Raw genomic sequence first — 24856 nt, 5'->3', positions numbered from 1 at the left:
GATTAGAGTAAAAGGAAAACAATGATATGATTACTTGGCATATTACAAATGTTATAGTTGGCCGGGCGCGGTGGCTCACGCCTGTAATCCCAGCACTTCGGGAGGCTGAGGTAGGCGGATCGTGGTCAGGAGATCAAGACCATCCTGGCTAACATGGTGAAACCCCATCTCTACTAAAAATACAAAAAAAATATCTGGGCGTGGTGGCAGGCACCTGTAGTCCCAGCTACTCGGGAGGCTGAGGCAGGAGAATTACTTGAACCCAGGAGGCGGAGGTTGCAGTGAGCTGAGATCCCACCACTGCACTCCAGCCTGGGCGACAGAGCAAAACTCTGTCTAAAAAAAAAAAAAAAAATTATAGTTAATTTTGCCTGTCCTCTAAATGCTTCTAAATGCCACCATTTTGGAAAGGATCCCTTTCATTGTGAAACCTGAGGTCTTCCTGTGGTTTCAAAACAGCCTTAAAAAAACACAGTTTTTCATCTGAACCAGCAGTATATCCAAGCAGCAAAGGACAAATTCACCAATAAGACTCATAACAGAAAATCCCATATCAACATTTCCCCCAGACTTCAACCTTATGCTTCAGCACATCACAATTAAGTGCATCCTCTCAAGTAATTATTTTATTTGATCCTCACAATTTAGTAAGGTAAGTGTTACTATTCCCATTTCGGAGATGAGGAAACTTAGGTTCTCAGAGGTTCTATGACACACTTGAGTTATTGAGTTTAGTTCAGTGGTTAAGAACATAGGTGCTGAAGTCACACTGCCTAGGTTCAAATCCAGGCCCTGCCCAGGGTTAATCGTGCGACCTTGAGGAAATCACTTAACTTTACTGTGCCTCCATGTGTACATCCATAAAACACAGATAAATGATAATACTACCCACCTCACAGGGCTGTTGTGAGAATTGGTTGGGATAATGCATTAAAGCAGTTTTAGAATTAAGAAGTCGGTCTGCCAGTGACACATACGTGCACATACAGAGTAAGCACTTAAGAAATATTAGCAAAGCTGAATTCCCAGAACTAAGTATTTTAGGGCCACAAGCGCTATCCTTATCTTTAACAGTTACATTGCTTCTGTGATTCATAATTTTATCAGCAGAGAAATTCGCTATTTCTCACAAAAGGAAAATACATGATAAAAGAAAACACTGAATTGGATAAAATGGCTCAAAAAGGAAGAGCAAGGGCAAAAGTTCAAGTGTGCCTTCTGAAAAGAACCCCATTTATTTTTGTTTCCAGAAAAATACTATACATGATTTAAGTATTTTCAGTCCTTTTTCAAGCACAATGAAAGGTCAAGCTAAATGGAAGTAATATTTGTGTAACCCATGGTGACTGTCAGGGAGTCTGTTTCCCATGGTCAGGTCCTCCATCCGGACAATGTGGCACTTCTCTGGAGGACCACTCTGAGCAGAAAGGGCTGTGCCTCTCCACAGCCCTCCCCACCTCCTGCTGCACCCCCTCCATGTGAGCGCTCTGAAAGAGCAGAGAACAAAGATGGCAGCTGGCAACACTAGAGTGCTGTGGAAAAGAGCAATTTCATCCAGGGAAGAAGGCAGTGGAAAATCGGCAGAGGAATATTATCAAGACACGCTGTCTTGTTTCTGGTTTCTTGTAGCATTGAGGGCAAACAAAAAAAAAGATGCTGAAGTGAAGAGAATGTGTTGTTGGGGGAACAGGAAGGAACAGACATACCCAGCAGGACACAGGATTTGCAGAAAAAACTGCTGGTGGCCAGAATAACTACAAAACACATACCAGCCATAAGAAGACATCAAAGCAGCAAGAGTAAAGAGTGCAGGGCAGATAAACTCTGCGAGCACAGCATACTTCAGAGGACCATAACAGAGGCCACCCAATACCAAGGATGAGCGATTGCTCAGCCCTTTTCTAGTGCATGGGAGAAACTGGGGAGATGGCCACAGTGGGGCTCTTAGATTGCAGATGTGACGTGGGTCGAGGTTTCTTTCTATAAATGAGACTTCCAGCTAAAGCATCATGTGAAGGATCACATGGAGGCACAAGTGTCACCTAAAGAGCTGAAAAGTCAATTGCAGTGTGAACGATTCCATCTAAGGAACTCAGGGCACCCCCGACACAAAGGTTGCATGTGAAAAAGGAAATCTCACTCTAAACAGGAACATTCAGCATTTAAACAAAAAATTATGGACTGTCATTCAACCCAGAAGTTCTTCATGCCACAAACGTTAAAAATAGCAGTAACATAATTACATTTGTATTGCACTTTAAACTTTGTAAAAAATTATAAACATGATCTTCTGGCCCACATGGATGTTTTTTTGCTTGCCCCAACAAGACATGTTCCTTGTATTATTTCTAAAAGTCCCTAAGAATTGACTTTATGTTATTGCAAGCATGTTTTTAAACCTATAAATACATGCATTGAATTTATCTATGGATACTATACATAAAAAGCAAATGGTGGGTTTTAGGTACTGAATCTATTCTAAAATATCTACTTATTTTCCAGAATGACTAATTAAATATAATTTATGTTAACTAAACCAGGTGTAAACATTTCAATACTCTGCATAGACTATTAAACACATCTCATTAAGAAGTTCCCATATTTTCAAACCCTCAGACATTCTAAGGGGGTACTATAGATGAATAATTATTTTCAAAAGGAATGTATTAAAGGATATCCCTTAAGGGTCTTTAAAAACAGGTCTTAAAAGCATAAACAGGAAGCATGCTATAGGGTTATAAAGAATCGTGGAATAAAAATGATTGTGGCCTACTTCCATAAAGAAGCATAAAAAAAAAGAAAAAAAAGCTAAAATTACTTCCAGCTTGCTGAGTTAAAATGAACTGTTATTTCATGAGGCAAGTGTCTTATTTACTCTTTGCCCTATATACAATAATAACATGTGTTGTTGCGAGTCAACAGTTCACATTAGCATTTTTTAATTTAGGAAAAAGGGGAAATTGTAAACTCTAAGGAACGGCTTTCTGACTGACATCGTTCGGCATGCCTGGAGGATGATGTGTACTTTGTACCCAAATCTTTATTAAGTTTTCTGTCCTTGAGATACAAAGATAACACTTCTGACCCACAGTCAGCAGGGCATTGGCTTTGAGGTTCTTTCTCTTTCTTTCTTTCAGCTTTGATGAGAAATTTGTGCTGATCCACCCTCTTTTGGTCATCTGGTTTCCTATGCGACTGACAGTGCACATTTGGGAGACAGCTGTCTGGCTTTGAGAGAGAAGTGCAGCTTGGAGAAGAAGGGAAGTGAAGTGGAGAGGTAACCCCTTGGCCTTGGCACTGGTGTTAACCAACTGATGTGTTAAAAACAAAATTCTATAAAGTAGGAACTGACATTCTTAGTATGGTAAGATGCAGCAAAACTATTTTCATTAAGAAAAGCTGTGATAAGATGAATCTTTTCACTGTACATGCTAACTATTGGAGTAAATTAAGCCTTTGGGGAGGTTGTATCAATTCCTTCTATACCACTGGGCTTTCAGGTTGTTCCAGGCTTTGGTTTCTCCAAGCCCTTAGTCTACATCACAACACTTGCCTTGTTCAGGTTTTTTGCAGCTCTCATCACTTGCTGAACTATTGGGTTTATTCACTTGATTACATGTTTCTTCATTGTCTGGCCCTCCCACTACAATATAAACTCCATATATTAGAAGATCTCAATCTACTAAAATTAGCTACTGATTCCTTGATCAGAGTTAATCTGGGGCTGGGCACGGTGGCTCACACCTGTAATCCTAATGCTTTGGGAGGCCGAGGTGGGTGGATTGCTTGAGCCCACGAGTTCAATACCAGCCTGGGCAACATGGTGAAATCCCATTTCTATAAAAAATACAAAAATTAGCCAGGAGTGGTGGCACACACCTGTATTCCCAGCTACTCTGGAGGCTGAGGTGGGAGGATCACGTGAGCCCAGGAGGCTGAGGCTGCAGTGAGTCATGATTGGACCACTGCACTCCAGCCTGAGCAACAGAGTGAGACCCCGTCTCAAAAAACAACAAAAAAGTTAATTTGTTTCAGAGTATATCTGGTTCAATAAATTAATCACCAATATATAGATCATAGAAGAAAATACCTGAATATATATGTTCATTCAACAAATACTAATTGAGTATGTCTTATGTATTAGGCAGTGGACACAGCACAGGAAATATTGGTGAACAAAGCAGAACCTAGACAGCTGGCAGTCTATTATGGGGCTAGCTGAATATCTTATGTAATGTCTTGCTAAATCTTTGAGCAGAACATAGAGAAAGAAAAAGAAGAGAGGCCATCAGCTTGTGCATCAAGGAGCAAGCAAGCTTTTAGAGGACAAAGCCACATCTCTCTCACGTTTTAAATTGCATCTCCCGAACTCTCCACTGCTCTAGGTAAGCCACACATGCCTTTCAACTAGCTGTCAGAGCCCTCTTCAAGTTCTCTTTTCAGAAAGTTTTGCAAACATCTTATAAACAATTTTGCTATCCCAGAAAATGCCCAGGTACCCCTTTGAAAGAAAAGGAAAATTCCTTTGAGATATTTTTTCTCAGTAACAAGGAATGCAATTAGGCCTATACTTGGCACTCTGTCAGTTCTCATAGCCAAGAAATCTCGGGGTTAGGAGAACAAAGCTACCAAGATGCTTTTGCTATTGACTATGGCTGGCCCAAAGTTCAAGGGTTAAAGCCTGAGAATGTTTTACCCCTTTAATTTCGCACATAACTAACTTCCAAATACCAAAGCTTAGATGACCCAGAATGTAAAATCCTTTCCATTACTTTATTAAAAAATTTTGTATGCTGTGATTTACTGCTAATGCTGGTCTTTCAAAGCATTAGTCAGGACACCTACAAACCTTCCTGCAGTGGCTGCCAATAGAAGTTTAACATTTCATAGGTTAGCACTTAAAATCTGACAAATAATAAATCATCCTTGTAAACAGTGTGAGGCACTGGGTTGATAATGTATTGAGAGTTAGTTAAAAAGATGAACTATAGATTACATTATAACTCAACACTGTGGAAAACCAAGGCCAAGTAAACTAATGATCGTTATTACCATATCTGTCTCTTCAGCGATCTGCTTTCTCTAAGAAAGACATTTTCTTTTAATAGAAAAAAAATTTCACTAAGTATGAACAATATGAAATTTGGTTGTTTCATATGTACATGTGCTTGAAAAACAAGGAATCAACACTCTTCACAGCTTTAAAATGAATGATCCAAAGGGGACAATATACTAACATTTAGAACTTGTCAGGGGCAATACTGAAAGAATCGTTTGAATTGTTTTGGGAGTTATTCATCAATTTTTCAGACATATGAACATTTAAATCATTTCCATCCTTGAAATATTATTAGTAATTACTCAAGTCCTGGTAGAACAAATGTTATGTATCGGATACACATTTGGTGTGAGGAACAGCAGTACACATCTGTTTTAGAAATGGCTGTGATACAATCAAATACACTTTAATAGGTTCACAAGAGAAAAAAAAATTAAGGTCTTTTAATGGTATGATGACCTGCCTGTGATATGCAGACTTTTCCACACATTTTAACTATGAGCAGTAAGTAGCCTTTGAAATACATGACAGTAGTATCCAAGTTATTTTCTACTCACATTTTGTATGTGTCTTTTTTTTTAAATTCATATACATGTATTATTGTATTAATATGTTATATACCTTATAAAACATGGAAAAAGGATGACAGAATGAATACAATGTTTTCTAATCATAATATCTCAAGGCAATACGAACAGGACGAAGTTCATGATTAAACAAGGTGAATATAAATCCCTTAGTTTTCCAGGTATCATAAAATTTTCATGGCCAGCTTCTTGCCAGATTTGATTCAGTGGTCCCTGTCATTAACTCATAACGTGGCTGACAAAAAGTTCATGCAAAGCTTTGCCATTCTTTTTTTGCTTGCAATATTAAAATTGTCTTCAACTTATGAGAATTCTTTCCAGAATCTTTTAAAAATTCTGCTAGTTTGTGAGGTTTTGTTAAAACTAAAATATAGAATTTGTAAATCCAGTTAACTAGGCACAATATATTTCACAATATAACAAAGACAGATGGAACAGTGGGGAAGCCACTAGGAAGCCCCTGAGCTGGGCACTCCCATTCTTTGCTCAGGAGACTTCGCCTATGCCCCAGGCAATACCTAACCACCCAGATATGTGGACTCAAGGATGGTGCCAATGTCAATACAGTTGCCATCAGTTACCATAATGTTTCATGATAACAAAATGAATGTAAATGCAAGTCCTAATCAATTTCTTTTCCTACCCAAATGAGTCTTCTCAAGTGCTCCCTGGGGTGCATATCCCACTTTGGAGACCACTTTGCCATGCAGTGACACAGTCGTTCACTTCTAAAAGCCAGTTATAATCACAGAAATCTCTAGAACTAAAATCAGGTGTGAACACAAGGTGTGAACTAAGCCAGGCCAAAGAGATAGTTACTTTATCTTTTTAACTTTTTAAATTATTACTATAACTCATTAACAGGAAAGTAAATTTAAAAATTCATTTATTTTGCCCACGTCACTACCAGCCCCGTCAAAGCACACAATATTGCCAGCACCCTTGGAAGCCCTCCAGGTCCTTTCTCTTTCCTGTCTTAGAGGCAAGCACTATCTTCTTTTTTTTTTCTTTCTTTTTTTTTTGAGACAGAATCTTTGCTCTGTCGCCCAGGCCAGAGTGTAGTGGCGCAATCTCGGCTCACTGCAAGCTCTGCCTCCCGGGTTCACACCATTCTCCCGCCTCAGGTAAGCACTGTCTTGGTATCCGATTCTTTCAGTAATAAGTTCCTTGCTTTTCTTTATTGTTTCAGCCACTTGAATATACACACCTTAGCAACAAAGTTTAGTTTTGTCTGTTTTTTAATAAGACTGCTATGCTCATGGGTAGGAAGAATCAATATCGTGAAAATGGCCATACTGCCCAAGGTAATTTATAGATTCAATGCCATCCCCATCAAGCTACCAATGACTTTCTTCACAGAATTGGAAAAAACTACTTTAAAGTTCACATGAAAACAAAAAAGAGCCTGCATCGCCAAGTCAATCCTAAGCCAAAAGAACAAAGCTGGAGGCATCACGCTATCTAACTTCAAACTATACTACAAGGCTACAGTAACCAAAACAGCATGGTACTGGTACCAAAACAGATATATAGATCAATGGAACAGAACAGAGCCCTCAGAAATAATGCCACATATCTACAACTATCTGATCGTTGACAAACCTGACAAAAACAAGAAATGGGGAAAGGATTCCCTATTTAATAAATGGTGCTGGGAAAACTGGCTAGCCATATGTAGAAAGCTGAAACTGGATCCCTTCCTTACACCTTATACAAAAATCAATTCAAGATGGATTAAAGACTTAAATGTTAGACCTAAAACCATAAAAACCCTAGAAGAAAACCTAGGCAATACCATTCAGGACATAGGCATGGGCAAGGACTTCATGTCTAAAACACCAAAAGCAATGGCAACAAAAGCCAAAATTGACAAATGGGATCTAATTAAACTAAAGAGCTTCTTCTGCACAGCAAAAGAAACTACCATCAGAGTGAACAGGCAACCTACAGAATGGGAGAAAATTTTCGCAACCTACTCATCTGACAAAGGGCTAATATCCAGAATCTACAAAGAACTCAAACAAATTTACAAGAAAAAAACAAACAACCCCATCAAAAAGTGGGTGAAGGATATGAACAGACACTTCTCAAAAGAAGACATTTATGTAGCCAAAATGCTCATCATCATGAAAAAATGCTCATCATCACTGGCCATCAGAGAAATGCAAATCAAAACCATAATGAGATACCATCTCACACCAGTTAGAATGGCGATCATTAAAAAGTCAGGAAACAACAGGTGCTGGAGAGGATGTGGAGAAATAGGAACACTTTTACACTGTTGGTGGGACTATAAACTAGTTCAACCATTGTGGAAGACAGTGTGGCGATTCCTCAGGGATCTAGAACCAGAAATACCACTTGACCCAGCCATCCCATCACTGGGTGTATACCCAAAGGATTATAAATCATGCTGCTATAAAGACACATGCACATGTATGTTTATTGCGGCACTATTCACAATAGCAAAGACTTGGAACCAACCCAAATGTCCAACAATGATAGACTGGATTAAGAAAATGTGGCACATATACACCATGGAATACTATGCAGCCATAAAAAATGATGAGTTCATGTCCTTTGTAGGGACATGGATGAAGCTGGAATCCATCATTCTCAGCAAACTATCGCAAGAACAAAAAACCAAACACTACATGTTCTCACTCATAGGTGGGAATTGAACAATGAGAACACTTGGACACAGGAAGGGGAACATCACACACTGGGGCCCATCATGGGGTGGGGGGAGCGGGGAGGGATAGCATTAGGAGATATACCTAATGTTAAATGACGAGTTAATGGGTGCAGCACACCAACATGGCACATGTATACATATGTAACAAACCTGCACGTTGTGCACATGTACCCTAAAACTTAAAGTAAAATAAAAAATAAAATAAAATAAAAAATAAAAAAAATTTTAAAAAACCCTTGTACCCCAAACTCCCAACTTGATCACTACATATTCTACACATGTAACAAACACTCATATGTAACCCATAAATATATAAAATATCATGTCTCAATAAAATAAAGACAATAATAAAAACCTAAAAAAAAAAAAAGACTGCTATGTAATCTTGTGTCTTTTCTTTCTCTCTCTCTCTTTTTTTTTGAGACAGGGTCTTGTCCTGTCACCCAGGCTGGAGTGCAGTAGTGTGATCTTGGCTCACTGCAGTCTTTCCTTCCTGGGCTCAACTGATCCTCCCACCTCAGCCTCCCAAACAGCTGGGACTACAGGCACACACCACCACACCCAGCTAAGGTGTTTTTTTTTTGTATTTGTAGAAAAGAGATTCACCATGTTGCCCAGGCTGGTCTTGAACTCCTGGGCTCAAACAACCCCCCAGCCTTGGCCTCCCAAAGGGCTGGTATTACAGGCATGAGCTAACAAACCCAGGCCATATCTGTCTTTCAACATCATGTCTGTGGGATATATCCATGTTATTGTGTACAGCTCTAGTTCATTTTTTTACTGCTGTATAGTATTCTAGCATATGATTACACCACAATTTATTAATCTATTCTCCTACTGATAGAGAATATTTTACACATCTCTGGATGCATATAATATATATTTCTCTAGAATACATAGATACATACATACACACACACACACACACACACAGGCAGCTAACTTAGTTTTTTTTTTTCAAAAAAAAAATATAATGAATTCCAGTAATTCATTCTTTGGGCAATGAATTAAGAAATCATAATTAACTAACTCTTATGAAGCTATGAAGAAAGTTCATTAAATTACTAGATTTATTCTCTCAGTAGACTTTCACTCCTACACATTCACTAAATCTAAGCCATGATAATAAATGCATTTTACTGTATTAAAAAATAGTTTGGGCCAGGCATGGTGGCTCACACCTGTAATCCCACCACTGTGGGAGACCAAGGTGGGAGGATCGCTTAAGCCCAGCAGTTTGAGACCAGCCTGGGTAACAAAGTGAGACCCCCTATCTCTATAAAAAATAAAAAAAATAGCCAGTTGTGGTGGCATGCACCTGTGGTCCCAGCTACACCAGAGGCTTAGGCAAGAGAACTGTGTTAGCCCAGGAGGTTGAACTTTTAGTGAGCTGTGTTGGCGCCACTGCACTCCAACCCAGGTGACAGAGTGAGACCCTGTCTCTCTAAAAAAAAAAAGCTTGAAGATTTCCAGTAAACTTACTAAAGCTGATTCTTCCAAATCTCTCTCTTTCCTCTCTGTCTCTCCCTCTCCCTCTCCCTCTCTCTCTCTCACACACACACATTTTACATATTGTAATAAAATTTTTCCTCTTAATGAGGGCTAATATTGTGCATACCAAGAGAACAAAATGTTCATTCAAATTTTAAAGCAATTTTGCACCAAAAGGGTTCCAAGTTCAATACTGATCAAGCCTGGAAAGCCAAAAAATGTTATTTCTGTAGCCAAACTAAGGAGTACAAGCACAAATAACAGAGATTGATTCCAAATTCAGAGTCTCCAGTGTTTTCATTACCATCATAAATGTTCTCCAAGTGGACCGTAGAAATGGGACATACTTAGATGACAATACTGTGGTACGAGCAAAATCTGCCTCTGGTCGACCACTGTCTTACCAATAACAACAAAATAACTAACATTTTTTATTGTGCCAGGACTTTCCACATATCAACCTACCTATACTTTCCATATATGGGCTTGTTTAATCATCATCAAAACAACCCAATGAGGTGAATACTCTCATTTGTCCCATTTTACAAGAAGAAATTGAGGCACAGAGAGGGGGACTAACTTGACCAAGGTCCCACTGCTGTTAAGTAGCTGAGGTGCGACTCAAAATCATTCCTCCTGGAGCCTCGGTCTATATTCCCTACACTACCTTGCAGAATGTTAGTTTTGTTGTTATTGTTGGCACTGTTATTGTTATTTTGATAACAACAAGAATAGTTCCTTGAGATCAGAGCAAAATGTGTGAATCCTAGGGGGAAAAACATCTATGTACATTTATTTTGATCCATGAGAAATTTGTGAAAATGACTGTAACCAAGCAACTCTCTAATTCTGGGAGAACAAATTAAGAAATGAATTAAGGGATTCAGTGGATACCCAAATTAGTCATTAGAACTTGAAGATCTGGAATTCTGGTCTAAATCCAGCTTTGGCACTTGCATCGAAAATAAACATAATCAGATAAGCATCACAGCTCACAATTAAAATGGATTTATATGGCTTATGTGTCCACATGGGACAGGCCTCTTCATAATTGAATTCGGACACCTCTTCAGTTATTGTGGGCTTCATTTACCATCTTCCTAGTCTTTCATAACTGCTGGCAATAGGATTATGCTGAGGGGGAAATCATTTTCAATCACTGATGTCTGCAGTACAAGCATAAAAAGATAAAAGTAAAGCCTTTGAGCTGTAATTAGAAAATTCCTAAAGTGTGCTCATGTGGCATATGGTTTAGACTACTACCAACTGGCAAGACCAGTTACAGAAGGGATGTCTAATGTCACCGTTCTGGGATAAGCAGCCAGTACAAGTAGCGTTCCAACACATGATTAGAGTAATCTTTTGCAGGGTAAAACATTCCTGCTTTCCACCTCTAATATGATTAGTGACAGGCAGCTGGAGGCATCTCATTCTCCTGACAAAAATATGATCAGAATTGTTTTCAATTGGTACATCTTTCCATCAAGCTGTTGCCTTCCAGCAGAATAATCAGAGTTTCTGATTATTTGGTATACGTTTCAAGAAAACAGGAATTGATTGTGCCCTTGCTTGTCTGATGGGTAGAAGGCTGCCAGGATCTACATAGTAACTCTTCAGCTGCCTAACCAAAGGAAAACTAAGCAGTGTGTGCGCCTGTGCATGCAGACATGTGTATGGAGACAGAAAGACAGAAAATCAACAGTTGTTTCTATATTAATTCTCTTTGAACAACTGAAAGTGCTTTCATTGTGATTCAAATATGAGGAAGTAAAATATTCGATTCTATTCATGGAAAACAACCAACTCCCACCAATATTTATGGCTCTTTTCAAAAAGTTACAATCATCTTACCACAAAAGTTTTACATTTATGGAAAAAGAATCAAGTTTATATTAAACATTAATGGAAATATCCAGGAGGCAATAAGACTTCATTAATTTGGACTACCTCAATTTGGAATTTATGATTATTTAACAGGGTCTGGACCAAGGATGATCTTTGGTTACTGTTTTATTGAATATCAATTTTGTGTAAGTTTGCCTTGCATACATGAGCTTGAAAACATCTTGACAATTCTGCAAGATGGGTATAATTACCCCATCTTAAAGAAGAGGAAACCAAGGCTCAGAAAAGTAAGTGACATGCGAAGACTGCACGATTATTAGGCAGCAGAGGCAGGATGCAGAGCCAGGCTGTCTGGCTCAGGAGTCTGTGTCCTACTCCCACTCAATGCTGACTGAGCACTGTCAATTCCAAGTCAGACTTCTGCAATCGTGGGAGCACATTCTTCAATAAGAAGGACAGTGAGAGCAAAAGTGGCTATCACTGTGAGGAGGGAAAGCCAGGCAGTCTGGCTCCAGAGCCCACCACTCTTAGCCATAATTCTTTTCTAAATCACAAGAATGTCTTTAAAAGCCCTATTTTTTTTTTTTTGGTACTTCAAAGTATTTCATATGCATGAAACTACTCTAAAGATCCACAGACGTGGCAAGGCAGGTGGGGAAGGGGGATGTGGGTGGGGTGGCACTGACTTACATCCACCAGACCCCACTGCCCTATCAGGAATAACTTCAGTCAACACACTCTAAAAGAGAACTCTGGTGTTGAGCCCTGAGAGGCAGCAGAGGCGGCCAAAGGCTGTGACAAGGCTCCCAGGAGGCAGCTGCAGGTGTAGGGACAGCTGGCCATGGCAGCAGGAGGAGGTCACAGAGAGGGAAGGACCATCTCTACTCACCTGGGAATCCACAGCAATGTTCCTGAAAGCAGCCTGGTTTCTGAAGAGCTCTAGGAAAAATGGAAATTTGGGAAGTCAGGCAGGTCTCAAATTAGTAGCCACACCACCCATTTCCCATCACACTCAAAACCCAAGCACAGGATCTGGAGTCAAGAAGACAGGGAATTCGTCCTCACCCATGACTTAACAGCTATGTGACTCCAGGTAGGTGGAGTAACCTCTCTGTGCCTCAGTTTATTCAACTGTAAGATGGGGATAATAACAGTACCTTCCTCACAAAGTTGTTGACTGGATGATATATAACATATGTAATGCATTTAGCACACTGCCTAACATATAATAGTGAAATACACCAACAACAGCTAACATTTATTGCCTGCTTAGGAAGTGTCTAGCATTGTTCTAGGGCTTCACATAGGCTAACTCTTCAATACTCTGAGGTAGGCCCTGGTATTACTGGCACTTTACAGGTGTTGGAAAATGAGGCACCAGAGAGGTCAAATCACCTGTCTCATGAAAATGTAGCTGGCAATCAAGTTCCAGAGCCTGGACTATTCACCAAAATATCTTGTCCAATTTAATGTTAGCTATTGTTCTTGTTATAATCCTCTCCTCTCCAAAAGATATCCTATAAAGTACACACAATCCCAAAGAACTCACCATTCAACCAGTAACCACTTAGGTGGAAAGATGGGTGCCAAGGTCGTAAGTCAACCAATCAATCACTCACTCGGTCACCCATCACTTCACATATTTCTTAATAATGCCTATGTCTCTAATGCTCTGCTGAGTACTGTGTGGGGATTCAAATGCTCCGCTAACTGGTCCTACGAGACTCAGAAGATTGACCTCCACAAAATGACTGGAGAACAACCGCGAGGGAGGCACTGGAAAGAAGGGGACGGGGCCTCAGGACACGAGATGCTGTTCCTGGCTCTGGCACCAACTCTCTGGGTGACCTTCTCCAAGCCAGCTGACCTCTCTGGGCTTAATCTTTAAATAAGAGGATTGACCTAAAGACTTTAAGCCCTGAGATTCTACTTTACAACTGTGACTTTCTTTTGGACTAACTTTTTCTCCCTACCAGTCCAGTTTTGAAAAAATATAACCCTTCATTTAGCCAACAAACATTGACTGAACACAATGTTAGGCACCATGAATAATGCCAAAGATATAACACAGGACACAGCCTACACTTTGTAATGACCTCCATAAGCATGGTGAATTCTCATCCTATGAAATCTTGGCAACCAGAAGACAAGGGAAGAATGCAGCCCTGAGGACAACTGTACACACTTGGTCTGTCCCAATCTGTACCAGTCTAACACCCAGGATCCACGTGCCCCAAGTGTCCAGCAGACTGGGAAGGGGTAGGGTGTCATGCTAAGCAGATGGGGAGGGTAAGAATGTCTGTGAAAAATAAGGCAGAAACAAGAAAACCAATGGGATGCTTGGGTGGAAGTTAGATTTGTTTTCTACAAGTTAGTAGTGTTGTATGCAACAAACCGAAGTGACAAGAACTCAGCTGGTACTTAATTGACTTTCTTTAATAAAGTATACCAATGGCTATTTTGACAGAAATCTTTTGTTTGCGTGTGTATGTGTGTGTGTGTGTGTGTGCCCGCACACGCCTGCTTCTACGGGAAACATTTACTTCTACATAAATGCAACTGACTTTATATAAAGATCAGTTCATCTCACCTAGATACATTTGCTTTCACAAAAACTCCTTGGAGGGTAATAATTTAGTGAGTGTAATACTTCCATTAAAAAGGAATTGATTTTAAAATATGCTTTTCACACTTTTGACAAAAACAATTTTCTAATTTTCTTTATGCCCCACAAAAGGCAAACATTGTTGTGTTGACAAAGCAATAAATAACATGAGTTGTCAAATGAGATATTAAACATTTATGGATTAAATTTTTAATAAAGACTTTTAGACATTCCCCAAAATATCCATCAATCTTTGACATGGAAAGAAGCAGCACTTTGGTAAATTCCATCTGCCACTACAATAGAAGTCAGCACAAGATATTTACAACTCAAGAGAGGGCAATGATAGCTTTTTTTTTTTGAGACGGAGTCTCGCTCTGTCACCCAGGCTGGAGTGCAGTGGCATGATCTTGGCTCACTGCAACCTCCGCCTCCCAGGTTCAAGTGATTCTCCTGCCTTGGCCTCTCAAGTAGCTGGGATTACAGGTGCATGCCACCACACTGGGCTAATTTTGGTATTTTTAATAGAGATGGGGTTTCACCATGTTGGCCAGGGTAGTCTCAAACTCCTGACCTCAAGAGATCTGCCCTCCTCGGCCTCCCAAAGTGGTGGGATTACAGGTGTAAGCCACCACGCCTGGCTCAATGATGGCATTTTTAATAGGATGGTTAAATATTTGCAGCATAGGATTTCAGAAGGTACAGGATGGCCAAACAGGGCCGGACATGGTGACTCACACCTGTAATCCTAGCATTTTGGGAGGCCGAGGCAGGTGGATCACCTGAGGTCAGGAGTTCATGACCAGCCTGGCCAACATGGCAAAACCCCAACTCTGCTAAAAAAAAAAAAAAAAAAAAAAAAATTAGCCGGGCATGGTGGCACACGCCTGTAATCCCAGCTACTTGGGAGGCTGAGGCAGGAGAATCGCTTGAACTGGGAAGGCAGAGGCTGCAGGTTGCAGTAAGCCGAGATTGTACCACTGCACTCTAGCCTGGGTGACAGAGCAAGACTCCGTCTCGAAAAAAAAAAGAATGCTCAAACATATCATGCATTATTCTGATAGGTTTTCAGGTAGCAGATATACTGTCTTTACTATGTTTCTACCAAAGTAACCTGTGCTTGGGAGTCTATAGAAAAGTTGGTTCCTAAACTGGCTCTGAAAGGGATTCCACAATTATTTTATGCAATGGCAACATTGTTGGAATACATGCATAAACCTCAAAGAGGACATCTTTCCTCAAAGAGGACAACTTTGAGGAAAAATGCTCATTTGGATAAATAGCTTTCTTAAGCCTAGAGAGAAAAACGATTGAAATTTCAGTAGTGATAATCCCTAGGGTGAAGGATTATTGGTAATTTTTCTTCTTTTTAATAATTTTCTCTGCTTTCTAAATTTTCTATAGTGAGTATGTACTACTTTAACAATCTGAATTTTTGTTTTCAATCTCAGAATATATTATGGAAAACAGCCTTAAAAAAGTGAAAAGGAGTTGGGCATGGTGGCAAGCCCTTGTAGCTCCAGCTACCTGGGAGGCTGAGGCAAGAAGATAGCTTTAGCCCAGAGTTCAAGGCTATTATGTGCTATGATTGCATCTGTGAAGAGCCCAAGACCCCATCTCTAAAAAAGTGAAAAGGCTCTGGAATCAGACAAACTTGGGTTCAAACCTCAGACTACACCCTTTCTACCTGGGTGCCCTTTGATAAGTTACTTAGCAGCTGAAGTCTCATGTTTATCTGGAAAATATAAACAATAGCATGTGCCTTGAGCATCATTTTGCCTGTGAGAGGTGAAATATTTTAAGTGCTTAGCACAGAGTAGGAGCCCAATAAATGGTTAAGTACTCACCTAGTCAAAGAACACAAGGAAGATAAGTGAGGCTTTTCTGATAACACATAGTAAATAAATGTGTTGGTGTTTATAAACTGATGCATCAGACTATTTGTTTATAGAAATACTGAGTTTGTAATAGGTGACTTCCAGAAATTGTCAAACAGTTAAAACTTCAGAGAAAGAGTAAGTAGAAATGGGCTTCTACTCCACTCTCCTTCCCATTACAATTATTTGATTATTAGATTCCTACAGTCTGGCCAGGGCGGTGGCTCACACCTGAAATCCCAGCACTTTGGGAGGCTAAGGCAGGCAGATCACTTGGGGCCAGGAATTCAAGACCAGCCTGGCCAACATGATGAAACCCCATCTCTACTAAAAATACAAAAATTAGCCAGGCGTGGTGGTGTGCACCTGTAGTCCCAACTACTCGGGAGGCTGAGGCAGCAGAATTACTTGAACCCGGGAGGCAGAGGTTGCAGTGAGCCAAGATGGCACCACTGCACTCCAGCCTAGGTAACAGAGTGAGACTCTGTCTAAAAAAATAAATAAATAAAAAGATTCCTACAGTCCAAGAATCTTGGATTCAGCTGTACCTGCCACTTTGCTCACATGTACCTGCTCAAAAATCCTTTGAATGGGACGGAATTTGGGAGAAGGATTAAAGCAGCTCTATTTGAGGATAGAGAAAGAAACCACAGCTATCACAATAAAAATATTTTCCATGTTGTCATTCCTTATGATTAAAGAAAGCAAAATAAATTATGGAATTGTTTAAATGAGGGGTAAGGTACAAGATTATAGATTCCCTGGCTTTTCTTTTTTTATGATAGCTATGTTGATGTTTTCATCCTTTTCCTCTGAAGGTAGTTCAATCAGGTTTATGATAAAATATATATTCTCAACAAAATATGGCTGTTGGGGAGTTGTTGCCCTTGGATATATGTTGCTGTACCTTGACTACAGCAAGAAATATTGATTTAACTGGCTTTAATATCAAGTCGGGTATTTGTTGACACATGGAAATGAAAAATATCAAAACCATGAAAAGCTTAATATATAGGTCAAATCCCATTTCAGCTCACTCCAAGGGACTCTCCAAAGTCTTCTGCTGTATTGAAATTGTGCTCTGCTGATACTTGCCTAAGTTGCTGGATAACAGAGATTTTCATTATAATGGAATTTGCCACACAAATGGATATTAGTATAGATTTTTATGAAGTAAAATTTATTGTATAGAAAGTACAACAGAAAAAAATTCACTGCATCTTCAGTTCTCCCTTCTCTCAACTCTGGAGACACATCTTGCTTCTTACCTAAGGCATGCACATTCTTTCCTTTCAAGACCTGATTTCCCTTTGTTCCTCTCACAGTGCCTGGTGCAGAGGAGACACTCAGGAAATAGCTGATGAGCTCAATGAAAGCTTTGGTACCAAAGCAAAGAAGGGAAATTCAGAATAGTTCCCTGTGTCGAAGGAGAAATAAAATTTAGAAATTGATTCCAAATGAGAATAGCAAGCAGGTTGACCCTCACCACCTGGCATGCTCAGAGAGTCCTGGGACCAGTGGGCCTTGGGTGGGCTCTCTACTGCAAAGCAGTCACAGAGGTTTGTCTAAAATGTCCAGCACTTAGCTCACACACTTACATCCCTCAGGAACTCCACAGAGACATTTCAATCATTAATTGCCTGAAACACCTTCAAGGTCCTACAGTATAGTCCAAGCAAGGGTGGTCAATGAGCAAATCCTGTTGTCTTAAGGGACTAAGATAAAGGGCGATCCACAGTGACTGTATGGGAGGCCATAAAAGCCAAGGAGGTCAGAACATAGCCGCCCAGGATAAGGGAGTCAGTGCAGCCCCAGGGTTGGGATTTACTCTCTTGCAGTCAGACCCAGAAGCAGTTTCTGAGCCCTTCACTACATCACCAGAACTGGGGGGAAGAACCAAGAGAGACCTCCAAAAACCTCTGCACGGATGCTACCCAGTGTCAAAGTTCCCAAATTCCCGTTCCCTTTCCTGTCCCCTCCAGCACTTGCATTACTTTAATAATAAAAGAGTTGCCTATAATTTTCTGTAATGCAATCTTCTGAAATCTTTTTTCTACCTTATAGTCTTTTTCTCTGAGCCTTTCTTATTGAAGAGTAAAATACACATCAAATACCAGTTTTGTTTCTATCTTAGAACAACATAATAGATCTAAATGCCTATTTCTATAAAGGTCTTTACTGTGATCAAAGGAACCACCTATTGAAGTCAAAAGGCCCCCTTCCCTCATTAGAGGAATATGCCCTGGGTGTGAGCATCCAAACTCTGAGAGACTCTAAGCTAGGCACCAGGGGTTTCCAGGGCAGTAAAAGGGCCTGTCCCATTATTACTGGATAAAGTCTAAGCAAAGAGTTAGAAGGGTCTGGTGAGGTTAGCCCCAGGAGTTATATATTTCTACATTTATCTTACAAATATTCCCATACTTCATTTGAAAATATTTTAAATGGTATATTGGCTCATGAGAATATTTAAAATATTCTCATTAAATATTTTAAATGGTATAATGGCTCAAGCCATTATTAATCACCTAGAAACAAATCATAAGCAAACTTTTGGGTGAACCAATGGTTTGCTCAATACATCTGACCCTCCAAATGATCTCTGACTATATAGTAGTCATTATCTCCATTTGAGAGCTGAGGACTCTCAGGGATAGGAAAGCTGTTTGCCCAGGGGTAGACAGCTACCACACAATGGAGCCATGCTGTAAATCCAACCTGCAGATCCCATAGCTAATTCTCTGTTCACAGTTCTAACTATTCACTAGTTGCATAGTAAGTTCAAATTTAACTTGCTAGTACCAACATGCCAAGTTGGTGGTCATGTTCTGTCGAGATTTGAAGCCTTTTTGGCCTTGGGTCCATAAGTGATACTGTTTCTCCCTTGCAAAAACTAAAATGACTGGAGGGAAACCAGAATAATCCTAAGACAAAAATGAGCAAGCTCAAAGGCTATAAAAATTCGAGATCTCAAAAACCAAAGATAGCTTTCTTGACTAGACAACAGTTGGTTATAAACTCTGCAACAAAGTACCTCTCAGATATGAAATATTACTCCTAGAGTTGGGTTTTTTCCCCCATTTTTACTAAGAATTGAAACCCACAAAATGACAAATCAGGATTACCCTATCAAAAGACAACTTCAATTGCTCCTTTGTTCTAAGAAACTGTGTGTTAGGTACTGACTGGCAATACCTGTACCTTGATCTTCACATTAATTATGCATTTTTCCTACAAAATTGGCTGCCACAGTACACACTGTAAGTCAGATTTGAGAGCTGCCAAGAGAAATGTTCCGAATGGCTGACTTTTTAAAGACAACTTGTCAGTTCACCAAATAATTCTTTGAGGGCTTATCCTAGTATACTTTGTCTCTCGTATACCTATACTTATACCTATAGCAATTATTACAGCTCTTTCCTGATGTATCAGCTTACAGCAAAGGCTAAAGAGGTATTTTTTTACATTCAACCCCTGATATACAAGTAATGAAACATACAATTCCTTTGACAGCATCAATTTACTTTGGCTGTTGTTATTGCTTAATTCCTAAACTGACTTATGTGAAATACCCTGATTCCTGGGGAGATAAGTGATTCTGGCTTAGTCCGTACAACTAAAACAAAGAAGAGTTTCATATTATCAACTCAATGAATATTTTCTTCCTTGAGGTTTCCTTTCATCAAATAATCATATCAATGCTTCATTTCCTTTAGTTAACACCTTATTTTAATGAGGCTTGATTCCAAAACATATAAGAATACACACACGCAAGAGGTACTATATTGAGTAAGTCAAGCATTCCAGCCAAGTATCCTATCTTTCATGTGGCACCAAGTGACATTTTGTAGAAGGCACAATGCTAACTATTCATTCTGCAAGCCTCAAAAAGATAGGCATGAACTACATGCCAGAATGGAAAAAGCATAAGCTTTGAAATCTGACGCTGGCTTCAAACACCATCTCTACCACCACTATCTCTCTGTGACCTTGAGCGAATGACTTATCTCCCCTCAGAGCTCTGTCATCTGAAAAATGGGCGTAACAGACTTACCTCAAAGGGGATGTGAAAGTTAAAGAGAATTTTATTGTAAAGAACATAGCATATAACCTGGAACATTAATAGACACTAAAGAACTGTAAGTTTTTTTCTGCCTCTCCATAAAATGCGATTAGTAATTCACTTTGAATTTGTTGTCTATTCACAAAACATAATGTAAACGATATCAGCTGTGGTGTTCTTTGTGATCACAATAAATTAAAAATTGTTTATCCATAGAATAACATTAAAGCACATTCATATACTGAAATTTATGCAGTCATTCTAAATATTTTTCAAATAATATTTTATGACAAGGAAATTTTTACCCTATAATTTAAGTGAAGAAAGCAGAAAAGAAAACCTGCATAATAAAAATAGTTCACATTTGCTGAGCATATGCTATGGTCCAAGAACCATGCTATGTACTTTATCTGCATTATCTTATTAATTTTTACAATAAACTTACTAGGTATATAGTATTATTATCCTCATTTTATAGAAGTAGAAATTAAGGTTTAGAGAGTTTAAGGAATTCATAGTCACTACGTAAGTTGTATAGCCAGAGCTGAAATCTCCAAGTGCCTGATTCCAAAGCTCTTTACCGACTATGTCATGCTGATTCTTCTGTACAAACGTCCTGGGTCCACCAAGAGCTAGTTTAAAACACACAAATATACACATGCACACACACTCACAACCTCACACAAATGCACATCTGAAAGGGAAACACCAAATGCTAACAGTGACAATCTCTGAGAGGTGGAATTTGAGCTGACTTTTAATTTTTTATCCATTTCAGTAGCTTCCAAATTCAAAGAGTATGTATTATTTTTAACATCAGATTTTTTTTCAAAAAAGAAAATGCATGAAAGTACTCTGAAAAATATAGACACAAATACTAGTATTTTTATGAAGCACTCATTTATTCCTTGATATATTATAGATTTGTGTTTCTTAAGAATACTATTCTTTTAAATTATTTTTTCTATCTAGTCCAAGGCAGAGAACATGTTTTTAAAAAAACTATTTTGTACATGAGTACAATAAAATATAGCACAGAAAGCACCATATGTGTTACTTGACAGCTATTTGACATTAATATGAGAGTCAAATAATTTGTGTGGGAAGAAAAATAAACCTCTTTTCAAATAATACAGAATTTTCAGCTTAGTGAAAACACATCCATTAGTGACACAATGCCATCAGAGCTCTCTCTGTCATGGTCACGTTACTGATACTGTCATGGAGCCATCTACACAGGCTGGCACACTGTTAGGACATGCCTCAGCCTGACGACTCTGTCCCAGGAGATGAGAATATCATGATGTGCTGGAGTGACACCTATGGAGTAATTTCCTGTCACCCCACCAATTCTCTTTAAGAGTAATGATTCTGTAAAGAGAATAGAATGATGTATTACATAGCAATTCCTTTGAACCAAACAAGTTCATGAGTTGAAATGATAGGTGAAGTTTGATTTTATTTTACAAAATTATTTTCTCTTAGATACATTAAAAATAAGGTGACTTAGATATGCTTTTTCAAGAAATTTTTCAGAAGAAAAATTAATGCAATCTAAAAATTACTCTCATGAATCTTATTCTTTATCATAGAGTTCTACTGTGTGGCAATAAGTAGACCAATAATGATCTCATTACTAAAGCATTTGACTAAGTCTTTCCCTGACTCTATGCTCTTGGATAACAAAGTAAACAAGTGAAAGACTGTCAAGCTAGTTTAAAAAAAAAATTCACATACTGATGTTAATAATTCTCTTGCAGAATGTCACAGGGCCCTATCTTTGGCCTGTCTTGGTCAACATTTTATCAACGACAAAGTAACATTTCCAAGTGTGCAATTGATAAATAAGTAAGAGTCTAACATCATTAATATATCGAATTTAAAAATTTTAGAATTCAAAGCTGTCTTGATAAAGAGGAAAAATAATTTAACAAAAAGAGACAAAATGTAGAAGGATAAATGTATGTAAAGTCCTCTAAGTAGGCACACATGATTCACTGCTCAAGTAAAGAACAAAGGAGACCTGGCTTTGTAGCAGTTGTTAGGAAAAAAGGCTTGGAAGTTTTCTTTAGCTTCGTATGTGAACAAACAATGTGCTGTTCCTGATTTACATGTGAGGCCCACACAATATTTGACTAGATTAATAAAAGAGTGCCCTGATCAAGGGAGTGAATAGCAGCCTGGTGTTTTCTACTGTTCAGAATACTCAGTCAGGAGTAGGCTGTTGCATTCAAGATGCTTTTTTTTTTTTTTTTTTTTTTTTGAGGTGGGGTCTCGCTCTGTCACCTAGGCTGGAGTGCAGTGGCGCAATCTTGGCTCACTGCAACCTCCACCTTTGGGGTTCAAGCAATTTTCCTGCCTCAGCCTCCTGAGTAGCTGGGATTACAGGCATACGCCACCATGCTCAGCTAATTTTTGTATTTTTAGTAGATACGGGGTTTTGCCATGTTGGCCAGGCTGGTCTCAAACTCCTGACCTCAAGTGATACGCCCACCTCGGCCTTCAAAATGCTGGGATTACAGGCGTGAGCCATAACATCCGGCCAGATGCACTATTTTTAAGATGGCATTGATAGAGTAGTGGGTGCCTAGAGGAATGTTAACAGGATGAGAACTATCAGTTAAGAGAACTAGCACTGCATAACCCTGAAAGGAGAAGACTTCGAGGAGGAGATACAATAGCTATGGTCAAATATTTGAAGAGCGACCACACAGAAGGTGCATATTTATTCTGTGGCATTCAAAGGGCGGATGGAAGACCAACAGGGAAGCTGCAGGGAGGCAGGTTTCAGTGCACCACTGGGGAAGAGGTTTTACAAATATCTGTGTCCACCTGTGCTTGATGGAGTATTGGTCCAATCACAAATAACATGAAGTCCAAATCGAAATGGGCTTAGGGTCCGGAGCACTGCAGACTACTGTCATTAGCATTATTTGGCTTCATAAAATGTTGACCAAACTCCTCGTTCCTGGCTGGTTCAAATGGCAACTGGGATAATGTGGAAAGAATTCCTGCATTTGGTGAGATGTTAGACCACAGTATCCATTTTCCGTTTCCATTGTCTGCTTTCTACACGTGTAATTTCTTATCACTGAGTTTCATGAAGATACTCCTAGTACACACATGTAAGTAATATCTAAATATGCCTCACCTTAATAAATGAGGGGAAAATGTAAATTTAAATGCAATCGAGAAGAGTCCAGAAGGTGAAATTCCACAAAAGTTTTCATATTATAAATTAGTGCTGCCATGGAAACCTTAGTTGATATCATCCACTGCAACCGAAACAGTTCTTGTTCAGGGAGTACCAGAACAATGAATGAGTTCATATATTCAGTGCTACAAACCAGCACTAAATAACATTTTTAATGCCATTATTTCTAATTTTTGAGGACGTAGATTTACATGGTCTCCTTGAGTGTTCATGATTTTGATATGGCACTAAAATTGAGGGTATGGAATTACAGTGGTGTGATCAATTGCATCAAGAGCTGACCAAGTCACTGGAAGCTCAGTACATGTACTGAATCCACCATTCAGATTCCACAGGAGAAATAAACGAGAAAGGAAAAAGACCTGCCAGATCAGGGCATTTGCAATCACAGTGACTGGCATAACATCTTCCCCTTTTCCCTTAAAAAATTACAGGACTGACCACATTCCTACAATAAACACTTGTCGATCAGGGCAGTATGTGAGATCAGACTCTCTGCTGTTTACAGCACTTCAACAAATGGGTTTTCTCAGTTATGTACTGGTAATCACTACAATACGTGAAAGTCAGCCCACACTGAGAACAATATTGCCTCCAATCAAAATCATTCTTACCTTAGCATACTAAAGCTTTTTCCCTCTTGTAAGCAACAAAAGCTACAACAAAAGAACTTCCCAAACACCCACAGCTAAGGAAAAAACTGCTCCAACAAAATAAGTGTGAAAAATCTGTCCCTGGTGTCCAATTCATATATAAATCTTCTTTTTCAGGATATTTTAGTGGCTTTATTTGTAATCTATCAGCAAAGAATAGAAATAAAAGTTTATTTTGATGGCAGTGCACCTGACTATTCAGAGATTCAAAAACCTGCTTTGTTAATTGTTATGCTATCCTGGCAGAGGATGTAAACATGCCTTTTTTCCAAGGCTTCATGCTGTACCTATAATCTCAGATGAATATTTTCACAAATGCAAAGCATAGGGAGAATGGGACTTAGGCAAAATGTGAAGGCAACTTCCTTCTGGTCCTTTGTCACCCTTGGCTGGGTAAAATCTGGGCCCCTTGCCCCAGATTTCATATCCTCTTCCTGATCAGTCTCAGGGAAAGGTCTATAAAATTATTCAACATAAGGAGGGTGAATTGAGATATACTGAGATATGAGGATAAGTTTGACTTACCACCTCCATAGCATTTGCATTTTAGGCCCTGGTGCCAGGCACTTTATATTTTATCTTATTTAGTCACAACAAAATCATAACAGAATTGTAGGCGTTACTCACTTTGCTTCATACATGAGAAAACTGGGGTCCAGAAAGATTAAATAACTTGCTCAAATTCATATAGCCAGCAATGGCATGACTCAAAATCAGGTCTTTCAAGTGCCAAAGCCCGTCCTCTTTTTCTTCTAAATCATACTGGTCAT

At 39.1% G+C, this 24856-nt stretch overlaps 1 protein-coding gene across 12 annotated transcripts in view, besides 1 other annotated feature; it reads right to left on the bottom strand.

Moving 5' to 3' along the window:
- The window catches only part of SPATS2L (spermatogenesis associated serine rich 2 like), a 176386-nt gene that overhangs the window by 140218 nt on the left and 11312 nt on the right, over window positions 1–24856 (bottom strand). For all 12 annotated transcript variants that reach the window (NM_015535.3, XM_024452788.2, NM_001282735.1 and 9 more), the window contains one exon: window positions 12567–12616. Coding sequence is in view for 4 of the 12 variants with exons in the window: in XM_011510938.2 (XP_011509240.1) it covers window positions 12567–12616 (50 nt within the window). In the remaining 8 variants the exon portion in view is untranslated. The remainder of the gene's footprint in view (window positions 1–12566; window positions 12617–24856) is intronic.
- Window positions 19887–20181: a silencer, noted in NCBI's record as "tiled region #2520; HepG2 Repressive DNase matched - State 5:Enh". NCBI's record gives its function as "represses a minimal TATA promoter and a strong SV40 promoter by Sharpr-MPRA in HepG2 cells {active_cell/tissue: HepG2}" and the evidence as "EXISTENCE:reporter gene assay evidence [ECO:0000049][PMID:27701403]".

The sequence above is a fragment of the Homo sapiens genome, chromosome 2 (genome assembly GCF_000001405.40).
Source record: "Homo sapiens chromosome 2, GRCh38.p14 Primary Assembly".
NCBI classification, from domain to species: Eukaryota; Metazoa; Chordata; class Mammalia; order Primates; family Hominidae; genus Homo; species Homo sapiens.
This window is presented reverse-complemented; position numbering and strand designations above follow the sequence as displayed.